The 27,485-nt window shown below is 38.2% G+C and overlaps 1 protein-coding gene across 22 annotated transcripts in view; it reads left to right on the top strand.

Annotated features, from left to right (window-relative positions):
- MYO3A (myosin IIIA) overlaps positions 1-27,485 on the top strand; it is a 278,304-nt gene that overhangs the window by 205,048 nt on the left and 45,771 nt on the right. For 21 of the 22 annotated variants that reach the window (XR_930494.1, XM_011519498.3, XM_011519500.3 and 18 more), the window contains 7 exons: positions 4,172-4,325; positions 6,170-6,258; positions 8,154-8,283; positions 14,574-14,653; positions 15,470-15,547; positions 18,034-18,239; positions 26,791-26,902. Coding sequence is in view for 21 of the 22 variants with exons in the window: in XM_011519498.3 (XP_011517800.1) it covers positions 4,172-4,325; positions 6,170-6,258; positions 8,154-8,283; positions 14,574-14,653; positions 15,470-15,547; positions 18,034-18,239; positions 26,791-26,902 (849 nt within the window). In the remaining variant the exon portion in view is untranslated. Of the gene's footprint in view, positions 1-4,171; positions 4,326-6,169; positions 6,259-8,153; positions 8,284-14,573; positions 14,654-15,469; positions 15,548-18,033; positions 18,240-20,882; positions 21,431-26,790; positions 26,903-27,485 lie in introns of those variants that run through there. The other variant, XM_011519511.3, reaches the window with a different exon arrangement.

A 27,485-nucleotide genomic window follows, 5' to 3' on the forward strand; every position in this document is an offset into this window, starting at 1 on the left:
CCCAGGCTGGAGTGCAATGAATGGCATGATCTCGGCTCACCACAACCTCCACCTCCTGGGTTCAAGTGATTTTCTTTCTCAGCCTCCCAAGTAGCTGGGATTACAGGTATGAGCCACCACACTCAGCTGATTTTGTATTTTTAGTAGAGATGGGGTTTCTCCATGTTGGTCAGGCTGGTCTTGAACTCCTGACCTCAGGTGATCTGCCCGCCTCAGCCTCCCAAAGGATTAAAAATATTTTAATGAAAATATTCATTGCTGGTGAGGATGCAGCAAGTTAGAAGTGTTTATTATTAGAGTGCAGTTTCTTCAAGCTTTCAAAAATCCATCTATGGCCAGGTACGGTGGCTCATGCCTATAATCCCAGCACTTTGGGAGGCCAAGGTTGGGGTGCGGTGGGGGAATCATTTGAGGTCAGGCGTTTGAGACCAGCCTGGCCAACAGGGCAAGACCCAACTCTACTAAAAATACAAAAATTAGCCAGGCACGCCTGTAATCCCAGCTACTCTAGAGGCCAAGGCAGGACAATCACTTGAACCCAGGAGGCAGAGGTTGCAGGGAGCTGAGATCATGCCGCTGCACACCAGCCTGGGCAACAGATTGTCTAAAAAAAAAAAGTCAATCTACAAACACGTTTCAGGTGCCTGTAAAATGTTCATACCATGTGATCATCTAATCAGTTTTAAGATGTAATAGAAAATACAGAAAAGCTTGATGCACAAAGCAGTACCCCAGAGCATGGTAGAGTGCATGGAGAGTGACCAGTTAAGGAAGGGAAATTGCTGAATTAGGAAGATGAAGGAAGGTCTCTCTGAGGAGGTGAGACCTGAATGATGAAAGTGAACCCTCATTGTATTACTCATCTGTGCTGAGAAATCTGTGCTTAAATTTGCACCTGATTTACAAGCCATGTGGACGCTTGCAGCCTGTCTCAGCCCATGGTGACCACCCTTCCATGCTGCTGTGCAAGTCTGAGGGCTCAATGTAATCATCTTGAATCTCTCCTGGAATGGCCGTTTGGCCCTAAATATTTAAGCTGGTTGTTTAGGCCAAGCTTCTGTGGGCTTTCCTGCCACTGTGCTGCTTCATGACTCAGACTCAAAATTCAATGAAAAACAAGGGAGAGGCTGGGCACGGTGGCTCACGCCTGTAATCCCAGCACTTTGGGAGGCTGAGGCAGGTGGATCACCTGAGGTCAGGAGTTCAAGACCAGCCTGGCCAATATGGTGAAACCCCGTCTCTACTAAAAGTACAAAAATTAGCTGGGCATGATGGCAGGTGCCTGTAATCCCAGCTACTCGGGAGGCTGAAGCAGGTAGAATTACTCGAACCCGGGAAGTGGAAGTTGCAGTGAGCCGAGATGACACCACTGTACTCCAGCCTGGGTGACAGAGCGAGACTCTGTCTCAAAAAAAAAAAAAAAGAAGAAGAAAAACAAGGGACAACTTTGTCCAGGTGTGGGATTTCCTAACATCTAAATCTAATGATTTTCCTGAAGAAAATATATATAAAATGATTATTCATCTATTTTCAAAAGGGAACTCAGACAGTCTGAAGAGAGTAGGAATTACATTAGCTAAACACTTCAGCTTTAATACAGTTAGTAACTCTGCTCACCTTATGCTTTAAATGTATATGTGTTTGTTTGTTTGTTTGTTTTTTGTTTTATGAGATGGAGTCTCGCTCTGTCGCCCAGGCTGGAGTGCAGTGGCGCAATCTCGGCTCACTACAACCTCTCCCTCCCAGGTTCACGCCATTCTCCTGCCTCAGTCTCCTGAGTAGCTGGGGCTCCAGGCACCCACCACCACACCCGGCTAATTTTATGTATTTTTAGTAGAGATGGGGTTTCACTGTGACAGCTAGGATGGTCTCGATCTTCTGACCTCGTGATCTGCCTGCCTCAGCCTCTCAAAGTGCTGGGATTACAGGCATGTGCCACTGTGCCGGTACCTAAATATATTTTTAATGTACAGGGCAGAGCAGAGGACTTTCTGAAGAAATAGGAGCTTTCTTTCTCCATATGCTTGAAAACAACTAAGTATTTTGGGATCATAACTGCTATATAATACATAATTATTTTAGGCATTATAATTTTGCTATAAGTATTTTATAAATTCTGAGTAATAGCGTTTTTTTCTTCCTTGGTTTGCCTGAAGTCCCTAATACTAACAAGTGTCTTGAATGGGAGCCCATTGTTTTCCACGCCACTCATCTCTGCTCTGTGTAACCCGCCACAAAAACAGTCAGTGGATTTTGACACAGGCAAATAGAAATGACAAATGCATTAGTTTAGACCTTAACCTCGTGTACTTTCTGTATAAAACAGACAAAAGTTGTTTTCAACTTTGCAGTTGCCATTTAAATTGTAATATGCTGTGAGCATGATGTGTCTAACAGTAAAATAATTCTAGGTCTACTCACTTCTCCCAAGGTTACCTTCAAATACAAAAGCTGTGAAACTTCAAGTCATCGTTTTCATTTTCTTATACTGGATAAGCTAAATGCCTTTCAGGTTCTCCACCTTTTAGACCATCTATTCTTCTCATTTTTATGCATTAGATTTCATTTTATTTAAAAATATGCATTTATTTTTCCTGGTGACACCTTTGAAATGAAATTTCAGCTTCATAAGGCCCCTACCATAGTGACTAAAAGCTCTGGCTTATCAAAATGTCCCACCTGCCACTGGCTACATTGCAGATGTTCCCAGAAATTTTTCTTTCTCTTTACTATTGTAGTACATTATACATCATAACTATCCATCTTATGTTACTCACATTATTTCAAATTATATTTGAACTTTGTGGAGGGCCGGGAGCTTGTTTTAAACTTCTCTGTCATCCACTATAATGCCTTGCCTTCAGTATTCAATTAATTAAAGAATATATTAAAATAACAATGAAAATGGTCTGTAATTTAAACATGGGAATGTCACATAGTGTTCCACTCGAGTCAGTGATTGATTTATACACTTACCCAGGAATGGTTGCTTATCACCTGAGAAGCAGTGACTCCCCCACATGCAAGCATGGCTGCATGTCGTAGTTCAGAGGTCACACATGTACTCTGTCTGACAGACTTCAGCACTGGGCTGGGGACAGTGTAAAGGCAGAGTCATAGAAGCCAACTGGGCACAAGCCTTCATGTCCCTTTTGTAAAGTAGATCATAGGTACCTATGCTGTGCTGGTACCTTAACCCTACAGTAATTATCTGTGGTTCATTGTTTCTATTTTACACATCTTATATTACACTATACTCAACAGCAAATTATTATTAATATGCCATATGTTTTTACTTTGTGAAGTGGGGTTTGTTACCCCCATTTAATAGATTAGAAAATAGATGTTTATAGAGTAAGGAAATTCCAAAGGATTTTGTGGCTAGGCAAGTGGCAGAGCCGAGATGAACCTATGTGTCCTTGGTTCTAAATCCACTGGTTGTTTCTATAACTCTCTGCTGTCTTGTAACTACGTAAATGTCTGGAATTGTGATTGAAAAGTTATATACCTGTGCTTGAGAGATTCAGTGGGGAAAGTATACCTCTAAGATGTATCTAGTTAAATATTCTGTAAAGTCTGGAACATAATTTTGTTACTTCTCATTAACAACATATTTTCCTACATCTTGAAAACTTAGGATGTCCATAATTCTAGTATGGAGACTAGAGCTTCTTTTATTACTACCCTGAGTATAATCAGTTCAGACTTTAAGGAACAAGCAGCAATGTGGAGAGAAAAATAAAATGATACTCTCAGTTTAAGAGCAAGGTCAGGCCGGGCGCGGTGGCTCATGCCTGTAATCCCAGCACTTTGGGAGGTTGAGGCGGGAGGATCACTTGAGGTCAGGAGTTTGAGACCAGCCTGGCCAACATGGTGAAACCCCATCTCTACTAAAAATATAAAAATTAGCCGGGCATGGTGGTGTGTGCCTGTAATCCCAGCTACTCGGGAAGCTGAGGCAGGAGAATTGCTTGAACCTTGGAGGCAGAGGTTGCAGTGAGCCTAGATTGCGCCAATATACTCCAGCCTGGACGACAGAGCGAGTCTCCGTCACAAAAAAAGCAAGGTCAAAGGGAGCAATTTATTTTAATATATGCAAAGTAAAATTTTAGGTAATTACTATGAAGCTATATATTATTCACAGTTTTAAGTGGTTTTGTCTTTATTATAGAATGAATACCTAAATGAAGATGTGGATGCTAGAGTTATTGAATATGAGGATAACTGGCCCCTCTTAGATATGTTTCTGCAAAAGCCAATGGGTTTACTTTCCCTACTTGATGAAGAAAGTAGATTTCCCAAGGCCACTGACCAGACTCTTGTAGGTGAGTTTTCAGTCCAGTGTGTCTGCATGGTTTTATGAATAGAGTCTTGTCATTCTGAATGATTTTTTAAATGGCTTTAAATTATCTGGAAGAAAATAGCTGTCACAAAGCCTGCATATTTGACTTTAAAGAAGAGCCTTTGGATTTAATACCTGGACCAGTGCATGTTTATGATAGGGTAAAATATTTAGTGATAAATTAAGCAAGTTTAAATATTGGACTTCTCCTTATTTTGTGGTGAAGCTCAACCATAGAATCACAGGTTATAAATGACCTTAGAAATTTTCCAGCCCAAAATTAGAAATTGGTGAGCAGTGCAAAAGGACAGCTCTGGAATTGAGAAGAGATAGTTAACAGGTAGGAAATAAATTAATCTGTGATGTTCTGTTCTATTCATTTATTTAATATAGGCAAATCACTTCAAATACCTTAATAACCTCTAAGTTACAGTACATTAATAAATATTCATGATAATAATCCTAAGTCATCAAAGTAAGATTAAATGTATTCATTTTTTGTGTTTGAGAAAGCAAAGAAATGTATAATACATTTTAAAAGATCACCATTCAAGCTGGTTAAAATGAAAATGTCTTACTCCTTAAATTAAAAAAGAAAAAAAAACTAGATTTTTCAGATATCTGAAAAAAAAATGTTTTTAAACGCAGAACATTGTGTTCCCTGATGATAGGAGGTATTTATTCTGTATGAGAAATACTTTCAGAAAATGTGGATTCACATCTTTCTGTCATTTACTTTGGGTGACATGTAGAGCCTCTTTCTTACCATTAGGTCTGTGATGTTCCTTCTTTCTGACTCACTGATTGGCTTAATTTCTCCTCAAATTGGACAATACTAGATGGAAAATAAACTGACCCCAAAGTGGTGGGGAAAATCATTTCATAGCAGTCAGTTGATTTTTAGATCAAATGATCCTTCTAGAATAAGTTCTCCGAAGGTGGCAAAATTGTTATAGAAATTCAGCTGCCTTTAAGATCATGTTTTATTTCTCATGTAATCAATAATAATTTATAGCTCTACAAGTAGAAAAGAGAGCAAAAACGCCAGATTTTTAGGCTCATGGCTTGACATCAAACTGTGTTTTACAAACCTCTTTGGTCAGTCTCAAGTAGTTTACTTCCTCCGTACCAGTGGTTCTCAAAATGTGGTCCCCTGCCCAGGAACATCAGCATCACCTGAGAACTTATTAGAAATGAAAATTCTTGGATCCCACCCCAAACCTACTGAGTCAGAAACTCTGCGATTAGGGCCCACAACCTGTGTTATAAACCCTCAGCCAGGTGCAGTGGCCCACACCTGTAATCCCAGCACTTTGGGAGGCCGACACAGGTGGATCACCTGAGGTCAGGAGTTCGAGACCAGCCTGGCCAACATGGCAAAACCCTGTCTCTACTTTAAAAATATAAAAAATTAGCCAGGCATGGTGTCGGGCTCCTGTAATCCCAGCTACTTGGGAGGCTGAGGCAGGAGAATCACTTGAATCCAGGAGGTGGAGGTTGCAGTGAGCCAAGATCGCACCATTGCACTCCAGCCTGGGCAACAAGAACGAAACTCTGTCTCAAAAAAAAAAAAAAAAAAACCCTCAAGGTGACTCTGATGCATGACATGGCTTGAGGACTGATGCCCTAAATCGTAATGTAATGGTGGAAATTAATGATCTTGAGTTTTACTTTACCATGTATAATTCTATTCCAAATCTGCATATATTAGCTATGTAAAATTTTCTTTGTTCACTGCACATTGTCCTTTTTATGGTAAATAATTTTCGCAGTATTTTTTGAGGATCTCATACATGCTTGATATTTGAGTTCAGTATTTTTCTACAGAAAAATTTGAAGGTAACCTGAAATCACAATACTTCTGGAGACCCAAAAGAATGGAACTTAGTTTTGGAATTCACCATTATGCAGGAAAGGTAAGAACTCTAAAGAATTATGACTGAGTTTCTCCTTAGCCTTTTAATGAATAATAGGATAGACATGAAAATTATGGCCCAAAATGTTTATAGATAATGATAATGTCATAGCTGTCTGTTTCCGCCCCCACTGGCCCTAATTATGCCCTCTGATGTCCTGTAATCCATCCTGTCCTTTGCTAGCCACTCACTATGGAGGCCAGACCCACTCCAGGGCATGCGCTTCTAGCATCTATGCTGAAGAGGTTAAAAGAAAAGTCTTTCTCTTAGTTTAACAATCATAAGTTTATAGTTTTTCTAGAGGAATCATTTTTAAGTAACTAAGAAAAAACAAAAAGAAAAGACACAAAACTGAAAGAATCCTTCGGTGAGATTAGCTGGCAATGGTTACCTATTTGTTTCCTTCTTGTAGCAATGCCTGAGGACCTTTGGTATAGACTGCCTTTTTCAGACTTTAGATGATTCTCTCTCTACTGCACTCTTTGTCCCTCCTCCCTTTCAAGAAGAGAAGGTGCCAGGCTGGAGGTACAGTCAGATAACTGAGCTAAGCCAGATGAATGGATTATGATGCAGTTAGAGGAAGAAATGTCTCTACATTGACAGAAACACATTCCCACAGCAGAGAAAACCTCAGATTTGTTGTCCTAGACCCAGAGGATGCTCTCTTTCCTTCCTTCTGCAGAGAATGACAGGTCATTCTTTCACAATGATGTCATAAATATGGGAGGACAAAGAGGATATTCAGATCAAGAAAGAATGTATCAAATGAAAAATACATAAAAATAAAATTACACAGAACTTAAAGTTATCTAAAGTTATCTAAAGAAACAATCTATTAGTCTGCTCGGGCTGCCATAACAAAAATATCACAGGCTGCATGACTTAAACAACAGAAATTTATTTTTTTGACAGTTTTGGAGGCTTACAGATCAAAGTGCTCTAAGTGGGGTTAGCATCTGGGAGGCCTCTCTTCCTGGCTTGAAGATGGCTACCTTCTCAAGGTGTCCCCACATGGCCTTTGCTATGTGAGCATAGGGAGTGGGGAGAAATATCCCTGGTTCCTCTTCCTGCTCTTATAAGAACACAAGTCTTATTGGTGTAGGGTCTTACTCTTATACCTTATTTAACATTAATTACCTCCATAAAGGCCCTGTCTCCAAATACAGTCACAGTGAAAGTTTACATCTTCAAAATCTGAATTTTAGAAGAACACAATTTGACCCATAACAAATACTATATTGGATCATTTCCACAAAAATCTTTGGATAACATTGATCTTTAAAAAGTCGTAAAATTGGCTAGGCATGGTGGCTCACGCCTGTAATCCTAGCACTTTGGGAGGCCGAGGTAGGAGGATCACTGGAGCTCAGGAGTTCAAGACCACCCTGGGTAACATAGCAAGACCTCATCTCTAAACTTTTTTTTAAGTAATAACATTATTTAGAAGTGCCAGAAACACAAAAAGCCACAGTGTTTTTAAATCACACTACTACTGAGATAAAAATCTATCATGGCCAATTCAACACAGGTGGATCAATTATCATAGAAATAGGAATGCCTTTGTGGCTCAATATGCTTCCTTTATGCTGCTCCATCCCTCCAAACAGAGAAAAGAAACATACCAAATTCCTAATGTAATAAATGAGAGGAATCAAACCTCTTTGGTCATTTCAACCCAAATAAAATCAGTGAGACACAGATGATAAGGAGCTACCTTAAGATGATAAGGAGCTACCTTAAGATGATAAGGGGCTACCTTAGTAAATGCTTGTATCACTGTTGCTGAACATAGAGTAAGCTCATAATGAGTATCTGTTGTTGATGATGATGATGGTGAGGAGGAGGAGGATGACAATGACATTGATTGTGATAATTATAGCATACTGTATCAACAGGTCCTCTATAATGCAAGTGGATTCTTAGCCAAAAACAGAGACACTCTTCCTACTGACATTGTGCTACTTTTGAGGTCATCCGACAACAGTGTAATTAGGCAACTAGTCAACCACCCTCTGACCAAAACAGGTAAGACAATTTTCCTTACCTGGAAGTTTTCTGAAGCCCAATCAAATAGTTTCTATCTCTGCGCTTTTCACTAATTTCATCCTTAATTTTTCATGTGAGTTTGTTTTCGGCTCACTAAATATTCATTTGTTAATATCCTCTGCCCCAGATCATCTGAAGAAAATATAAAAATGAATATAAATAAGCTAGTTTTTCATTAAAGGTAAGTGTTTGCAGCAGTCATGCAGAAAATGTGGTGGTATCCTAGCTACTCACTACAAGAGTATACTGACCTCCAGAGTTCAGAATTACCTGGGCAAATCAGGAGTGGGCAGCTTTTGGATGATTCTTTGAGGTTCCAAAAGTTTGGTGGGCTCTCTTATTGATTAAAAATGGACGTGTCTTTGTTCCACCCAACCATAATACATCCTTGCATTTGCTGTAAGTAGAAAAAATATAGTTTGGGTTGTTTTTCTTTACTGGAGTTTAAAATTGTTCTCTGCATTTCTTTTTTCATAGTTTTATTGAAGTATAACTGAAATACAAGAAACAGCACATATTTAAACAGTAAAATTTGATGAGTTTTTGACATATATAAGCACCTGTAAAACTATCACCATGATTAATAGTGAACATACTCATCACTCACAAATGATGTTTCTCATGACCCTTTATAATCCTTCCCTCCAAACCTCTCTGTTCTATCACCATTTGTTGAAGAGATTGTTCTTTCCCCATTGAATTGCTTTGACACTCCTTGAAAAATCAATTGACTAATAAATAGGTCTATTTCTGGACTCTTTATTGGGTGTCATTGATATTTATCTATCTTTAGGCTAATGCACACTTCTTGACTACTGTAGCTTTCTATAAAGTCCTGAAATCAGGCAGTACAAGTTAACCTGACTTTGTTCTTATTCAGGCTTGTTTAGGTAATTATAATTTGTTTGCTTTTCCATATACGTTTTAGAATGAGCTTGTCAATTTCTACCAAAAATCCTGGTTGGGTTTTGATTGGAATGCACTGAAACTATAGATCAATAATGGGAGAATTGGTATCTTCCCAACATTAAATCTTCCAATCAGCACAGTATAGCTCTCCATTTATTTAAGTCTCCCTTAATTTCTCTCAGCAACATTTTGTAGTTTTCACTGTACAAGTTTTGCACATCCTTTGCCAAATTATCTGCTAGTGTATCACATTTTTATGTGATTATAAATGGTAATTTTTAACTGAAATTCTGGTTTTTGCCAGTATATGAAGTCTAATTGATTTTTGTATATTGATTTTTTGCCCTGCAGCCTTGCTAAGCTCATTTATCAGGGTAGCTTTTTTTTGTTAATTCCAAAGGATTTTCTTCACAGATTGATCATGTTGTCTGTGAAGAAAGAGTTTTGCCTGTTCTTTTCCAATATGTTTCCTTTTGAATTCTTTTTTCTTGGTTGCACTGGCTAGAATCACAATGCAATCACCAGTGTTGAACACAGGACAGGTTGCAAGAGTGAACACTCTTGCCTTTTTCCTGATCTTGGGGAAAGAGTAGTTAGTCTTTTAGTCTTTCACCACTGAGTATAATGTTAACTGTAGATTTTTTCATAGAAGCCCTTTATCAGGGGAGAAGTTACTTTTTTTTTTAATTCCTAATTTCCTGAATGGTTTTTTTTGTTGTTGGTTGTTTTTCGTTTGTTTGTTTTTGTTTTTCATGTTTTTTTTGAGACAGAGTCTCACACTGTTGCCCAGGCTAGAGTGCAGTGGCACAATTTCGGCTCACTGCAACATCTGCCTCCCAAGTTCAAGAGATTCTCCTACTCCAGCCTTCCGAGTAGCTGGGATTACAGGCGTGCACCACCACGCCCAACTAATTTTTGTATTTTTACTAGAGACAGGGTTTCACCATGTTGGCCAAGCTGGTATTGAGCTCCTGACCTCAGGTGATCCACCCGCCTCGGCCTCCCAAGGTGCTGGGATTACAGGTATGAGCCACCACGCCTGGCCAATTTCCTGAGTTTTTATCAGGCATGCATATAGTATTTTGTTAAATGCTTTTTCCACATCTACTGAATAGATTACCCTTTTTTTTTGTTATTTTTTTAAATTGACAGCTAAAATTGTGTTTATTGTATACAAATGACATTTGGAAATATACGTACATTGTAGAATAATGAAATCCAGCTAATTAACATATACATTACTGTATATAATTATTTGTGGTGAGAACACTTAAAAATCTACTCTCTTAGCAATTTTCAAGTATATAATACTATGAACTTACGTATCCTATCTAGCTGACATTTTATCCTTTGACCAGCATCTCCCCAACCTACCTCTTCTCACTGCAACCACCACAACTACTAGTAACCACCATTCCACTCTCTAGCTCTATGAAATCAACTTTTTTAGATTCCACAAATTCCATCCAGTATTTGTCTTTTTTGACTGGCTAATTTCACTTATAGTGTCCTTCAGGTTCAACCATGTTGAATAGTATTCGTGTGTGTGTGTGTGTGTGTGTGTGTGTAGACACCACATTTTCTTTATCCAATCATCCATTGATGGACACCTGGGTTGATCATATCTTGGCTATTATGAACAATGCTGTATCTGTTAAATGGTGAGTGACTGATTTTTTAATCATTCCTGGGAAAAACCTCAAATGGTCATGATGCATTGTACTTTTTATATATTGCTGAATTCAGTTTGCAAACATGTTTTAAGAATGCTTGCATCTTTGTTTATGAGGAATATTGCACTATAGTTTTCTTATGCTTCATTTTGTGACTTTGGAATCACAGTAATGCTGGCCTCATAGAATAAATTGAGTAATATTGCCTTTTCTTCAATTTTCAGGAATAGTAGAATGAGTATTATTTCTTCCTAAGTTGCTTTGTAGAATTCACCAATGAAGCCAACTGGGCCTGAAGGATGTTTTGTGAGGTTTTCAACTACAAATTCAATTTGTTTAGTAAATATAAAGCTATCTGAGTTATCTAATTTTTGAGTGAGCTTTAGTAGATTGTGTTTTTTAAGAAATTTATTTCATCTACATAGTCAAATTTATTGACACCGTTGATTACAACATTTTCTTACTATCCTTTTAGTATCTGTAGATCCTGAAGTTATGTCAGCTGTCTCATAAGTGACGTTGGTAATTTGTGTCTTCTCTCATTTTATTCTTGATAGATTTCCTAGACATGTGTTAATTTTATTGATCTTCTCAAATGGTTTCATTGGTTTTTTTATTGGTTTTGTTTCTATTTCATTCTCTTTTTCTTTCTCGTTTATCTTTGTTGTTTTCTTTCTCTGCTTACTTTGTGTTTTATTTTGTTTCCTTTTTTCATTTCTAAGGTAAAACTTAGATCATTGATTTAAGAAGACATTTTTCTAATATCAGCACTTATATGGGTTATTTATAAGAGTTTATAAGGTTTCCAAATATGGTGAGATTTTTCAAATATTATTTATGGACTTCTAATTTAACTTCATAGTGTTCAGAGAGCGTACTTTGTGTTATTTAATCCATTTAACTTTATTGAGATATGTTTTAAGACCCATAATATTATCTGTCTTATTTTATTTTCATTTGCACTTGAAAATATTGTTTATTCTGCTGGTTGTTGGATGAAATGTTCCATAAATGTCAATTAGGTCCACTTGATTGAGAGTATTGGTCACATCTTCTGTATTCTTACTGTTTTTCTCTCTCCTGGTTCTATCAATTACTGAGAGAGGGATTTTTAAATATTTGGCTATAGCTGTCAATTTGTCTCTCTTTTTTTTTCAGTTTTTGCTCATGTATTCTTAAGCTATATTATTAGGTAAATAAACATTTAAAATTGTTATGTCTTCTTGATGGATAGACTCCTTTGTTATGTGATGACCCTTTTCATCCTTGGCAGTATTGTTTGTTCTGAAATCTACTTTGCCTAATATTAATATAGAGACTCCAGCTTTCTTATGATTAGTGAGTGAATGGCATATCTTTTTCCATACTCTTAATTTCAACTTATTGTTTTTCTTTATATTCAAAGTAGGGTTTTTCTAAACAGCACATAGTTGCGTCTTGGTTTTTTTTAATCCAGTCTGACAATCTCTGCCTTTCAATTGAGATGATTAGATGATTTACATTTAATGTGATTAATGATATGGTTGGATTTGACTCTTATCATCTTGCCACTTGTTTTCTGTTGGTTATATTGGCTTATTTTCCCAGGCTTTACCTGAGTTCCCTCACTCGCTGCATTTCAGGCTGACACTTCTCCAGGCAGAAAGCTGGCACAATCAGAGGGCTCACCTCATTTGTCTTCCCTCTCTTAGGGATCAATGTCCTTACACTGCTTGACGCACAATGTATGAAACCTGTTTTTCATTTTGTATGTCTTTTTAGTTGTTTGAGGTGCGAAGGTTAATCTAGTCGGTGTTACTTTATCTGACCCAGAAGCAAAAGTCATTAATTTTGACTTTAACAATTGCCATCCCTTTTCATATACACCAACAGCATCTATCCATCTAATTCCATGTTTTTTGCCCTTATAAAATATGCAGCCAGGCTCTAAATACTATGTTGTGTTGCTTGGCTATCAGCAGAACAGTGTCTGGTTGGCCAGGGAGAAGAGAAGAACTTAATAGTCAAGTATGTTTCAATAAACTCAGAACCTCAGAGATAGCAAAGACATATGGATTTTATATTCACCCAGATGTGCAAACATGTAATAATAATCATAGACAACTTTGTTATCTATTATGTGCTAGGCACCGTGCTAAGCACCTTCAATTACTCCTAATAACAACACAATAAGGAGGCACTACTTTTTTACAAATAAGACATTAAGGCTTGAAAGTGTTGAGCAGCTTTCCCAAGGTTTCCCAATGGAAAATGTTAGAGTTAGAGTTCTTCAATTCTATATTATGATGTCTTCAAGATTCTAAAATAACCATGGCCCTTTGTATATATGACTTCACATATGACATACAGTTCAGCCATTTTTAGGGGAAAGTGCACCACAGTTACTTGCAGCTCACGTCTTTAGTTGGGTTTATCACAAGTTTGTTCATTAGGTGAGCTATAAAAACCAAAATGGATATATTTTCAGAAATTAAGGTCTATGCTAATTTTAGTTCCCGTTGATCTACATAAATAAATTTAAGCGAAATTCCTGAAACTGCCACTCTAAAGATCATCTGTTACTGTATCTGTCCACTCTGCTGTAGTCAGTAAGTTTCACATTTTGAAAAGTGAACAGGGCAGTGTGCAGGGCAAGCCTAGCATGGAAACTGTGGCACACACCCGTCTCAGCCCCTCCCCTGGAGTTCGGATGGAGGGGAGGAAGCAGAGCAGAGGCCCTGCCAGGCACACTCCCATCATGATTCCTTCCTGCACCATCTTAGGCCAGCCTTTTGCAACCATAAAGAATGGGAAAGGTTTGCCAAAAACATTCAGCCTCTACTTATCACCTAGAAGAAGGAGAGAGACAAGAAATGATCTTTCTGAATTGATACTGCATTTTGAAGATATTTTGCACATTACTATTAGGATAATAAACTCTTCGATTGTGGGTTGGTTGGTTCCTTGTGCTTGGTGGGGTGAGAGCTGTGAAAGTGAACTGCATTTCAGGGGCCTTCCATGTGCCAGACATATTATCGCATTTCATCAAAACTCTGTGAGGAAATCACCATTATTCCCATTTTATGGATTCTGGGTGCAGATCAGAGACTAAGTAAATGACCCAAAGGCAACACAGTTTAAGTACTATACCTGGGATTCAAAGCCAAGTCTTTCTGGCTTCTCAGGCCATAATTTTTTCACTGTTTTGGGTTGTGTGCATTTGTGTAGTCCTTAGAATGAAGCACGTTTCTGAAAGTTAGATTGAAAAAGGCCATTGCCTCCAACCATAGTTGATTTGCTTATAACCACCTCATGCAAATTAATGATTCATATGATTTTTCAGGCCAATTGTAAAGCTTAGCCTGTGTTAAAGAAAATCTCAGATGCCATTTATCACACAAAAAAATAAGAAGCAAACTGCTCCCTCAATCATAATCATCTCAAGTCTTCTAGCAATTCAAAGGAAACCCAACACCTCAGCCTTTTCTGTTTTCCAAGCTCAAGAGTTTTTTTCTGAATTTAAAATTTGTTGTACATTTTTACATAATTTTTTTTATTCCTAAGTTCCTCCATAAATAGTTAACCAAGCATATGATTATGAATATTGCAGGATTAACAATGCTTATTTTAACATTTAAGTAAATGGGAAAAATCATCTAGCCATTAAGGATTCTAAAAGGTATATTACATTTTTCTACATTCTCATAGGTAATCTGCCACATTCTAAAACTAAAAATGTTATAAACTATCAAATGAGGACTTCAGAAAAATTAATCAACCTGGCAAAGGTAAGAAAATGCTTTTTTTCTTGGCAGTGAGTCTAAGAATCTAACCGGTATGATGGCAATATTTGTATGCTTCTCAAAGTCAACAGTTTTTTTCTTAGTTTTTCTCCCTTTGATCTTGCTTTTCTGTTTGAACAGATATTTATGTTATGTTCTTGTTACTGCTAGGGGCTAAAATAATCATGCATTTCTGATATATTAATATTTCCAACTCTTCTTTTTTAGCTAGTTTTTGGGGGGCAGTTTTTGTTTTTGTTTGTTTGTTTGTTTTTGAGACTGGAGTCTCACTCTGTCACCCAGGCTGGAGTGCAGTGGCATGATCTCAGCTCACTGCAACCTCTGCCTCCCAGGCTCAAGTGATTCTCCTGCCTCAGCCTCCTGATTAGCTGGGATTACAGGTACCCACCCACACCCAGCTAATTTTTCTATTTTTAGTAGAGACAGGATTTCACCATGTTGGCCAGGCTGGTCTTGAAGTCCTGACCTCAAATGAGCAGCCTGCCTCGGCCTCCCAAAGTGCTGGCATTACAGGCATGAGCCACCATGCCTAGCCCTTTTTTAGCTAGTTTTAAATGTTACACTAAGACCAACTAAAAATGTACTAGTGAAGATGAGAGATATTCACAGTCTACATAAGACCAATTAAAATTCCAATGAGACTGACAAAACAATTACCTAAAGGAAGAATATCAACATTTTGCTGTTTTACATATTTGAATGCATAAACTAAGATAGCCTGAAGGAAAATGCCACATGCTGTCTGTAGATAATAAAGTACAATAGATACCAAGGCATCACTGTCTTCCTTGGTCTCCTTAGGGCGACACTGGAGAAGCCACACGTCATGCCAGAGAGACAACCAACATGAAAACACAAACGGTTGCATCATATTTTAGAGTAAGATATTAAACTATGATGTATTGTGCTTAGGGGTGCTATTTAGTCTAAATGAGTTACAGATCAAAAGCCAGTAACACTAGCAAAGAGAATGTTTATTGTATTCCATTTACTATTGTTAGATACAGGATATGTTAGCATCTACCTTCAAAATCTGCAGATTGGTTTATTTTTACATTCTACCTGTGAAATTATTGTATCCCAGGTCAATCTTAATGAAAGTCTATACCTTGATTAAAATTTGTCCATAGAACAGAATGCATTTCCACTAGAATAAAACCTAAAAGGATTTTTACTTCAATGCTATGATAACTACCAATTCTCCTTCCCCATCCTGAATGATTTTAGAGTAGACAGATAGGGCAAGGCTGAGCATCCATCTCCATTTCATATCACCCTGCCTGTACAGAGCTAAAAACCTCAAAAGGAAAATAGAGCCCGTGTAGGAATGGTGCGAGGAGAAGAGTCATCAGGAAGATGCGGTAACGTGCTTAAGAGAGTGTGCTTAGCATAGGATCAAGGCGACCTTCCTTCCTTGGGCAATGTAGGATAAAAGAAAAAAACCAAGTACTTTTTTTTCCTCTGTGCTCTAGATAACCCTCCCATTATTGGTTCCAGTTCTTGTTTACCTATTCTGATAAAAACCTATTAACCATCCAATGAAAATGAAGAAAATACCACTAAAACTTGGAGTTATTACTTATGTAATTTAATGTGGAGGAGGTGGAGGAAATTAGATTAAATTTACTCTAAGTGTTCAGTGAATGTATCCAACTCTCTAGCAGAAACATAAAATTCTTTAAAAAATATATGAGTACCTTTACTAAATATTTTTTAAGTCCGAAGCTCATAGAAGACAGTGTGTACTTAATCATCTTTGAGTAGTGCCAGTACATTTATATGCTTAATACCTGACGTTTGTTGCTAATACATTTCACTTTACATCAGAAATGCAGCATAGGTGAATCACTGAACGTATTTACAGCCAAGTTGTTTCCTTTTTTTAAGTGAGTTACCCAACACCATTATCATACCACTGTTGTTGGCATCAAACACTGTATGTATGTTTAAACCAGATTAGTTCATGAAATCTTTTTAATCTTCAGGCTGAAGTGAGAAATGATAGAAGATAATCCCACCTAACATGAAGTGTGTTTTTAAAGCTATTTTCATTCTGCAGAGAAGACTGAACACAGTGTAACACTATGCTTTAGTCCCTCAGAAAAACCAGCGCCTAAATTGCAGGAAGGTCCTGCTTAGAGTATCACCCCTGTACCACCAGTACTTGGCAGATGTTCGCACGAGTAAAGGAATGATGACTTACAGATAAATGTAATGAAAAAGGCTCCAAAGTGACAGGCCCAGCTGTTTGAAAAGATCACATCTGAGCCTCAGTGCCCAAGAGGAAGCCATGCAAATTCAGAGCTTTGTCGGTTGCCAATTTCAGCATTTGTTTTGCACTGGCTTTATGACTGTAGGCTCTTACATTTCCAACACTAAACGGGATCCAGCCGTCAATTGCTATTTGTGTCCATACATTACCTCACCAATAAATGTGATCCTGGTCTTTGAGATACTCGCTTTCTGGGATTCCACTTTTAGTTGATTATCCTAATATGTTATACTTACTTGTCTAGTAATTGGCTACTGTTTTAATAAGGTATTGCTATAGAACACAGTTTCATATCTATGTGAATTTTTTAAATTATCCAAAAATAAATAAGAAAATGATCAAATTAGAACTGATGAAAATATTTAATTGGATTTCACTTTGCTTATATCTACTTCTTACATATTAAACGCTATTGACTTTTCTGTCCTTATTTTAAACTAAGAGATGATCCTAACAGGGATTAAGGTGTTCCCTTTTTTTTAATTGTATTTTAAGTTCAGGGGTAAATGTGCAGTTTGGTTATATAGGTGAAGCTGTGTCATGGAGGTTTGTTGAACAGATTATTTCATCATGCAGGTATTAAGCCCAGTACCCGTTAGTTATGTTTCCTGATCGTCTCCCTCCTCGTACTCTCCACCCTCCAATAAGCTCCAGTGTCTGTTGTAAAGTATTCCCTTTTTTACCATCTATAAAGAGAGAGTTGGACAAGGAAATTAATATATAAGAAGGATTAGTAAGATTGTATAATATTATAATTTGGTAAGTTAGCCTAAGAGTATATAATTGCTTACAAACTACATCAAAAATAATTTTATCTGTTAATTAAAGTTGCCTTAATGGTTTATAAGCAAACTTTTAATAGCTAAATTTCTAGTTACTGCCTCTACATTTTTATAAGTAAATCTGTATTTTTTAGAACTATACTATAAATAAAATGTTCATTAAAACAGATTTTCCTCCATTTACTGTGACTAATGGGAGCATTTATAACATTCATTTTTTGAATGTTATTCTTGTAGTAAAAAGAAAGGCCTACAAGCTCATACGTTTTTGTATGCTACATTGGGAAATTTATTTTTGTTGTGTATTATAGTATTCCCTGATGGATTTGTTGTCTAAAATGGTGGTGGGCCAACCTCATTTTGTCCGTTGCATCAAACCAAATAGTGAGCGTCAGGCAAGAAAATATGACAAAGAGAAAGTTCTGCTACAGCTTCGGTACACAGGAATTCTGGAAACAGCAAGAATTCGAAGACTAGGATTCTCCCATCGGATACTTTTTGCTAACTTTATAAAGCGGTATGTGGATTTCTTTTTCAGTTTCTATTGTGCAGTTTATATAAAAATCATTCAGAAGAATTATAAGAAACATAATATGAAAAAATCTTTAGAGGTCTAGGAGGGAGGCATTTTGTTCATGCAAATGATTATGTGTTGAAAAAAGAAGATAGCTATTAACTGAGGCTGAAAGACTCTGGACAGATGGGTGGTACTATGTGGTATAGGCAGCATGATCCAGAGGCGTGAGCTTCTGTACTGAGGAGTTGGAGAATCTGGGTTCTCGCCCTAGCTCAGCCACTTGCTATGTGACTGTAGGCCTATACCACTGATTCTCAGCTGGGAGAGATTTTGCCCCTCAAAAGACACTTGGCAATGTCTGGAGACATTTCTGGTTGTCACATCCTGTGTGGTGTAGGGGCGTGGGGGGATGCTACTGACCTCTAGTGGGTAGAGGCCTGGGAATGCTGTTAAACAGCCATTCTACAATTTACAGGATGGCCTCCCCACAACAAAGAATTATCCAGCCCCAAATCTCAACAGTGCTGAGGCTGAGAAACCCTGGCCTATAACCCTAACCTCACTTTACTCGCCTACCAAATCTGCTCTAACTACCTGATAGGATCCTTATAATGATCAAATGAGATACTGTCTCTAACGGTGATTTGGAAGATGAAACAATTAGGTTTATGTGTCAATTTAAAAAGCTAACATAAATTTTTTTAAAAGAATCAATTGGTATAAGGAATGTTTTATTTTATTTTTTTTTTTTTTTTGAGACGGAGTCTGGCTCTGTGACCCAGGCTGGAGTGCAGTGGCGCGATCTCAGCTCACTGCAAGCTCTGCTTCCCAGGCTCATGCCATTCTTCTGCCTCAGCCTCCCGACTAGCTGGGAGTACAGGTGCCCACCACCATGCCCAGCTAATTTTTTTTGTATTTTTAGTAGAGATGGGGGTTTCACCGTGTTAGCCAGGATGGTCTCGATCTTCTGACCTTGTGATCCACCCGTCTTGGCCTCCCAAAGTGCTAGGATTACAGGCGTGAGCCACTGCGCCCAGCCAAGGAGTTCCTTTTAATATTTGAGATTAACATAAAATAAATTAAGCTATATACTAAATATATTTTATTGAGTAATACGTTATTAGTAATGTGAAGGTTCAATATCTTATATATTTAATATTTTAAATGCCCATATTTTTTATATTTTTTCAGTTCTATCATTTCTATTGGTCATTAAACATAATGAAATTTCCATTTTTAAAGATGAAGTCTATTAAAATTTTCAGGTGAAACCCAGTATTTGAGGAAGTCCCATTTATAATATTCTTCACCCTTTTTCAAAGTATATAAATTACTATTAAGAACAAAACCGTGTTTTGTGATTGCACATCAAACTTGATTTCTAATTTTCCTCCCCTCCTCCGTAAAACTTTATGCATTTTATTAGCCATTCTTTTACTTGGAGTAACCAAGACTCCTTCTAAATGTGATGAGAATTCTGATTATTTCTGCTAATTTTTTTTTTTTTTTTGAGACGGAGTCTTGCACTGTTGCCCAGGCTGGAGTGCAGTGGCCGGATCTCGGCTCCTGGGTTCACACCATTCTCCTGCCTCAGCCTCCTGAATAGCTAGAACTACAGGCGCCCGCCACCACGCCCGGCTAATTTTTTGTACTTTTAGTAGAGACGGGGTTTCACCGTTTTAGCCAGGATGGTCTCCATCTCCTGACCTCGTGATCCGCCCACCTTGGCCTCCCAAAGTGCTGGAATTCCAGGCATGAGCCACTGTGCCTGGCCTATTTCTGCTAATTTTTATATGTTCAGCAAATTTGTGGTAGTTCTTGATTTAGTTTTTCTTTTTTTTCTTTTTCTTTTTTTTTTTTTTTAGACAGAGTCTCGCTCTGTCACCCAGGCTGGAGTGCAGTGGCGCAATCTTGGCTCACTGCAAGCTCCGCTTCACAGTGAGCTTGCATTCTGTGCAAACTCACGCCATTCTCCTGCCTCAGCCTCCCGAGTAGCTGGGACTACAGGTGCCCACCACCACGCCCGGCTAATTTTTTGTATTTTTATTAGAGAAGGGGTTTCACCATGTTAGCCAGGATGGTCTTGATCTCCTGACCTCGTGATCCGCCAGCCTCGGCCTCCCAAAGTGCTGGGATTACAGGCGTGAGCCACTGCACCCAGCTGATTTTGGTTTTCTTTAGAGACCTGGGATTATTTATTTGGAATGCTTTGAAATCAAGAAAACTCTACTACCTTTTTCATGATGGAGATCAAAATTACATAAACATATGACTTTTGTGTTGGCCAATCCTTATAGTAGTTTAAGACAAACCAAAACCTCAAGTTTAGAGTCCAGAAATCTAGTTAGCAGCTAATCATCAACTTTACTTCCTACAGATCAGACACAATTTTATAACCAAAACTAAGAAATAAAAAAATGGAATTTTTTTATTGGCTAATAGGTAAATTCTCCATCCTGCTCATGAAAGCAGGTAAACCAAAAATACTAGATACAAAGGAGTTTCAAATATCAAATTAAGATTAAAATTTGACCTTATTATCATGCACTTCATGTTTCAGAAAAAAATGAGATCTTTAATTTGCTTAAATAGTAATATAGATATTATGAGTGTAATATTAATATAAGTACTCTTAAATTTCAGTGATTTTTTAATGTATAAGGCACCATGCTAAGCACTGTGGGAGACACTGAATTTTAGAAGTGGCTTGATCTTCAATATTGGACAGTCCAGTTAGAATCACCAGAGGCACAGACATGGAAAGTTAACAAGCAATGTGAAGTAATAAGTGCCAAGGCCAAGAGAATGATATACACAGTGTAAGAGTTCAAGGGAAGGAAGAGCATCTCCAGGAAGGCTGATGAGAGAGGATATCAAGAAGAGGCATTCAGCTAATGCAGAAGGATCATTTGATGCCAGGAGTTTGAGACCAGCCTGGGCAATGTAGCAAGACCCCATCTCTAAAAACAATTTTTTTTAATTAGCTGGGTGTGGTGGCTCATGCCTGTAGTCTTAGCTACTCAGGAGTCTGTGGCAGGAGGATCACTTGAGCCCAGGAGTTCAAGGTTACAGGAGGCTATGTTCATACCACTGCACTCCAGCCTGGGTGACAGAGCAAGACCCTATCTCTAAAAAAAATGAAAAATAAAAAAATAAGAAGAAGGACTCAAACTGGGACTTGAAGGAGGGTACGGCTTATGGAGAAAACAGGAGTTTTCTTGGTGTACAGGTTGGTGTGCCAAAAGCTAGCGGGACTTAGATTGGATTGGGTTGGTAGAGTGGGCATTGCATTGGTGAAGTGACAGAAGATAATATGAAAAAACAATTGTGTTAAAATTATGAAGAGAGCCTTGAATACCAGCCTAATCTTATAGCTTGAAAAATAACCATAGTTTTACAATGTAGAGCATAATGAGAATAAAACCTATTTTCTTAATGATATTGTAGTTCAAATGTCAGAAATGAGAATAAATTCTTAAATATATTTGTAATTATTGTGCTATTACAGAATAGCAAATTACTACACAATAAATAAAGAGAAGGGGATAAAACTAAGTGTATAGAGAACACATGAATAGCTGTTCTGAATACAGGAAGTTCCAGAAATAAAAGGCTAAACCTTTTCTGTGTCACTAATTTGGAAGTTGTCATCCAAATTGGCATAGACTCTTAGGAAGGCAGAACAATTTTCAGAGGTTCTATGGGGGTGTAAATAGAACTGCTAATCCTCTGCATAGGATGCAAAATTCCCCAGACCCTTTGTTCTGTTGTAGATAAATTCTTCTGTTCTATAACAAAGAAACAATCTTAAGGAAAAATATACAACATGAACTTTGCACAAGACACTGGGTTTTTACTGCAGCTATTTCAAAGGAACCCTTACGCTAACAAGCCAGCCACTTAACTTGGCTCCATTTTCCCACTAAGCACCTGTACATAATGGTTTGGCTACCAGAGCTCTAATACAACTAGAACTTACTGAAGGCAGTAGTATGGTGGAGTAGATAAGTACCATGCTTTGAAGTCAGCAAACCCGGGTTTGAATCCCAACTCTGCCACTTACTAAATCTGTGGCCTTATTCAAAGTTACTTGAGTTCTATAAGCTTCAAGCTTCAATGTCCTTGGCTGAAAATAGGGATGATAATAACAATATCTACATTATATATGTGTTTATAAGTATTAGGTGAAATAATATATATGGATTTTATTGATAGAACCAGGTGTCATCAATACATATTAGCTATAATTATTTTTATTATTTTTTTTGCCTCAGTCTCAAGCTCCCAAAATTACCTATGACCTATAGTGGCCTAGGGGATGCCCTCCATAAGCACGTGTGGCTTACCTAAGTATTTATTTCCACAAGTCCCAGCAACAGCACATTATACATTCAGCAAACGTTTAGTTGAGGGACCCACTGTGTTCCAGTCCTTGAACTAAAAATGAGTTCAAATCTTAATTGAAAGATTCAAAGTCCAAAGATTAATGGATGAGCCCCTGACATTAAGAAACTCACAGACCTGTTATGGAAACAGGGCTTTAAAAATCTGCATTATCATGCAATGTAAAGTCAGCTGCAGGCAGCAAGGGTGTGGGTATCCTGTGTTCATTGTTGTGTCTGAGGCACCTAGAAGGGTTCCTGGCAAATAAATAGTAGGTGCTCAAGTATTTTTCAAATTAATGAAAGAAGACCGGGTATTTTTAATGAAAGTATAAAGAAGATACTCTGAGAGCATAAAGGAAGGATGGTTTAGATTGTATGAGAAATTCTGATAAAGCAGAGAATAATAAAAGTAATACATAAAACACAGCAAAAATATTTTTACTTACAACATCAATGTAAGTTTGTTTTTTAACCTTTTGATAAAGGCTTAATTTTTTTCTTTGAGTGTACATCTATTAATTATAGTTTATTGGCTCTTTCTTGCATAAGCTATCTGTAATCTCTCATTTATGATTTCCAGTTAACATTTCTTGGAGTGAAGCAAGATATTAAAAATACTTGTGAAACAGCCACAGGACTGAATATTTCTTGATTCTTATGATTTTCCTCAATGCTTTGTAATTGCTTCATCCACGTTTAATTTCATGGTTTTTTACAAGACTTCTTTATAAAGTCTTACCAAAGCATTTGATGCAGTTTTATAGAAACAATCCTCTGGCTTTCTCACTTAGATTTCAATCTGATATTTATTTGAATAACATCACACCAAATACAACTGGCATAAACAGGTTTGGGGGCAAACACAGCTCATCCAGTGAGAGCAAACACACACACGGGCGCACTAGTGAGAACTGCCAGCCTTGAGCCTTAAGTGTGCAGCGGACCTCAGTTGGTGCGTTTTGCATAAGAAAAGACAATTTCATTACTCCAGTTAATCTGTTAATTGAAGATACATTGAGGAGAGTTTTTAGAATATTGAAAAAGTAGGTCTTCCTTAAGGAAACTAGGAGTGGGATGAAAGGGCGCGCAAGCGTAGTGAGTTACACATACGAAGGCATAGAAGCATGAGCAAACATGGCCCTCTGGCACAATTTTAAGTAACTTTCATGACTGGAGCTCGGAGTGTCATGGAAAATAGCAAAGAGGAGGCTGGAAAGGCAGATAGGGATATAGGAGGGCAGAAGGGAGCTTGCATGGTAGTCATCATGTGTGGCAAACAATTTAAAGCCAATGCTTTTTGGCAGGTGTAACCTTCTCCTCCGACATTCCCACTGCTCCCAGGCTCCCATATTTATGGTATCTGCCTAGACTTTGAAAGCACCTGATTTTGCCATCCCAGCTTAGAACTTGGGACATCCATAGAGACTTTTCGAGTCAGGAAAGGACATGATCAGATTTTCATTTAAAAAAAGATAATTCAGACAGAGCTGTGGACGGTGGCTGGGGCAGGGCAGGGGAGTGACAGTGGAGGTAACTAGTTGGGAGGCAATTGCAAAAGTCTAGGTGAGAAGGGATGAGGTATTCAATTAAGGTAATGGCAGCAGGCATAGCGAGAAACAAATGGATTCCAGAGAGACTTTAAGCTTGTTAGATCCATAGAGTGAAGAATAGGGAAGAGTAGGCTGGCACACAGATTTCTAGCTCACCTTTTAAAAAGTGGTAATATCATTCATAGAGACAGGAAATGGAGGAGGAAGGAAAAAGTGATGAATGTCGCTGAGTTTAAAGTTAACCAGGTGGGCATGTAGAGTAGGAAGTCATAAATAATGTGTTTAGAGTTGATATCAACAGTTAGGGTTGATGGTGTAAATTTAGGAATCACCACATACAGGAATAGTTGGAGCCAAGCATGTAGATGAGATGCCTGTGGACAGAGCTTAGAAAAAAATGGAACACTGTAGAACACTAGCGTTTAAGCAACAAGTCATTAAATCATTAAATATGGGGCATGCAGGGAGACTAAGAGGGAGGAGGAGAGGCAGGGGACATTAGGTGGAAGCCTTGGAGAGAGCAAGACAGAACAGCCAATAACAGCAAGTGCTGCAGAAAAAACGCTTACAATTAGAATGGAAAAGGACCTGTTAGATTTCACCACTCCTGCATCCTTTATGAGTAAATAAGAGGCCTTGTTGCTATGTGATTAAATGAGATTCTTGGAGCTGAAGAAGTGATGGGAAGTGAAGAGTGAAGAGTGATGGGAAGTGAAGACGATTATTTTAAACCGTCTTTCAACTTATCAGCAAAGCTAGTGGAAGAAACAGAATCATTACAGATGAGCGAGGCTTAAGGTGTTTGCTTTGTAACAACACACAAACATCCATTTTGTAAATGGAGGGAGCCAGAAGAGAGAAATGAGATTGAAAATATACAGAAAAGGAGGAGGAGATGGCCTCTAGAACACAGGCGGAGGATGAAAATCTCCTCTGAAGGAGGAGGGAAAATTGATAGTGAACAAATGAATTTTTATTTGGGGAAGAAGCCTATGAATTGTGTGTCTGGTGGCTTCCAGTGATATAGTAGAGAAGCTTGTCTGCTGAGAGAGGTACGGAGGGCAGGGGCTGCTGGGAGACTTGGAGAAAGCAGGACGCAATTAAGTCGCTTTTGTGAGGAAGAAGAGAGGAAAGTGGCCCTGGACACTGGTCAGGATCCAGAGCTTTCTTGGGAGCCTGGCTGAGTCAGGAATCCACACATCCACAGGGAGCCGACTGTGAAGATTTTCTCTGGCTGTGCTCTGAAGCCCGGCACGAGGATAGAGACGCAGATGATTGGCGGGTCCAGGCACGCATGTTTGCAGGGAGTGCACAACAAAGGAATGAGAGTAGGAAAGGTGCGGGGGCTGCCTAAGGGTGGCTCCTGCGATGAACTGTGAGACCCTGGCTGGTTCTGGAAGGAAGGAAAGCCAAGAGTTGATGGACAGGCTGTGAATGCAGAGTCGCCGCTACTGGGTCACCATGTGTACATGAGCGAGTTAGTCCTGAAGTGAGCAGGCCTAGTGGCTAATAGGCACTCCCTGGGGTTATTTGCACTAACAGCAAAAGTTATGGTCACTTCATTCTATACCATTCTAGGCCAGTATTCTTCTCCACGGAGCCTAACAGAAGCTACTTCATTGCAGATTTAATGAGGTGAAACTTAGCAAAGTTGAAATATGTTCATTTTAGAGGTTTTATCTCCGGACTCATTTTTAGATGAGGAAATTGATACTTAATTGTGACATGTCCAAGTATATACAGTTAATGAGTCAAGGGTAAAACTCTGCTCTGCATGTCACCGTGCCACCTCAGCCGTCTACATATCAGGGCCTCTCTTTTGAAATTCAAAACCTACCAAAATTTGCTGCTTTGTTGCACTGGACTTTCAGGCTAATCTTGCACCAATAAATTAAAAATAGTAGAGTATTAAAAATTCTGGAAATCTGTCTTTTTGCACAAGATTATTGACCAGTGTAAAGCAGATTTTCTTTCCTTAATTCATCCCCTTCCCCACTAAGCCTTGTGATTTAACCTGAGGACCTGCTTTCAGTTCTTTCCTGCATTAGCCCTTCCTCTTTCCTTCCCTCGATTATGGATAGATTAACCAATAGAGCAAAACTCTAGCAGGAGACATAGTGTCCCTCAAGGAAAAACAATGATGGAAGGCATGTATACAGTGATGGGAAGTTTCACTGGAATTAAGCTCCATCACCCAATTTGAAGATCAGCTTCCAGAGTTTTGTTAACACTCAATGTGAAAAATAATTCCTTCTGCTTCCTGCCACTGCAGTCCTGCACTTTTTAGTGTCCAGAGAAAGGTAGCGAAAAAACAAAAACAAAACTGCTAATTTTTTTGACTGATGGAGTTCTTGTCAGGGGAGTGCAGTATTAAGTTTTGAAAGGTGATCACAAAGGTGAAAACACAATGCTCAAATTTATACAGACTGGACTGGGTTTCCATCAGTTTGGAATTTGGTCTACTCCGAAGTTGTTCTGAGGATGCCTAAAGGATTTCTCCGCATCAAGTCTGGGCATCTCTTCCTCAGCCCCTGCACTAAGTTGTTGGGGAACCACCAAGCTACAGAGATGTTGGCACTTTATGCAATACTAACCAGCCCTTTTTTCCATTCCAAGGTACTACCTTCTCTGCTACAAGTCGAGCGAGGAGCCCCGCATGAGCCCTGACACCTGTGCCACCATTTTGGAAAAAGCTGGTCTCGATAACTGGGCTCTTGGAAAAACAAAAGTAATGTTTTCATGTAATTTTCAGGAAAATAAATAATTATGCTGGGTTCACTGAGAATTGTAACATTTTACAATGTTTGAAAGTATGGTTTTTTTATGTTATAGAATCTATAACTTACAATAGAGGAAGTAAAGTTATAAACTCATAAAGATTTTCTTTTTCGTCAACATTAAAGGCTTTTGCTCTTCATAAAGATTTCTTTTAAGAAATACAAAAGGCTGGGCAAGGTAGCTGACACCTCTAATCCCAACACTTTGGAAGGCCGAGGTGGGAGAATGGCTTGAGCCCAGGAGTTCAAGGCTGCAATAGCTATGATCACACCACTGCACTCCAGCCTATGCAACTTAAGACCCTGACTCTAAAGAAAAGTTTACATTGAAATTTAAAAAAAGAAATGCAAGAAAAATTTATCTTGAAGATTTATCAAAAAAGGATAAACCATAATGATTGTACTTTACTTCAGATGGTATTGAAAACAGATATATATTCTCTAGTTTATCACTACTAAATATAGTTAAAAAGCTGTAGAGAATCATAATGATCCAAATAAGATTCGTGTTTTCCTTTTTTTCTTAATTCTCAG

The sequence above is a fragment of the Homo sapiens genome, chromosome 10, assembly GCF_000001405.40.
Source record: "Homo sapiens chromosome 10, GRCh38.p14 Primary Assembly".
NCBI lineage: Eukaryota > Metazoa > Chordata > Mammalia > Primates > Hominidae > Homo > Homo sapiens.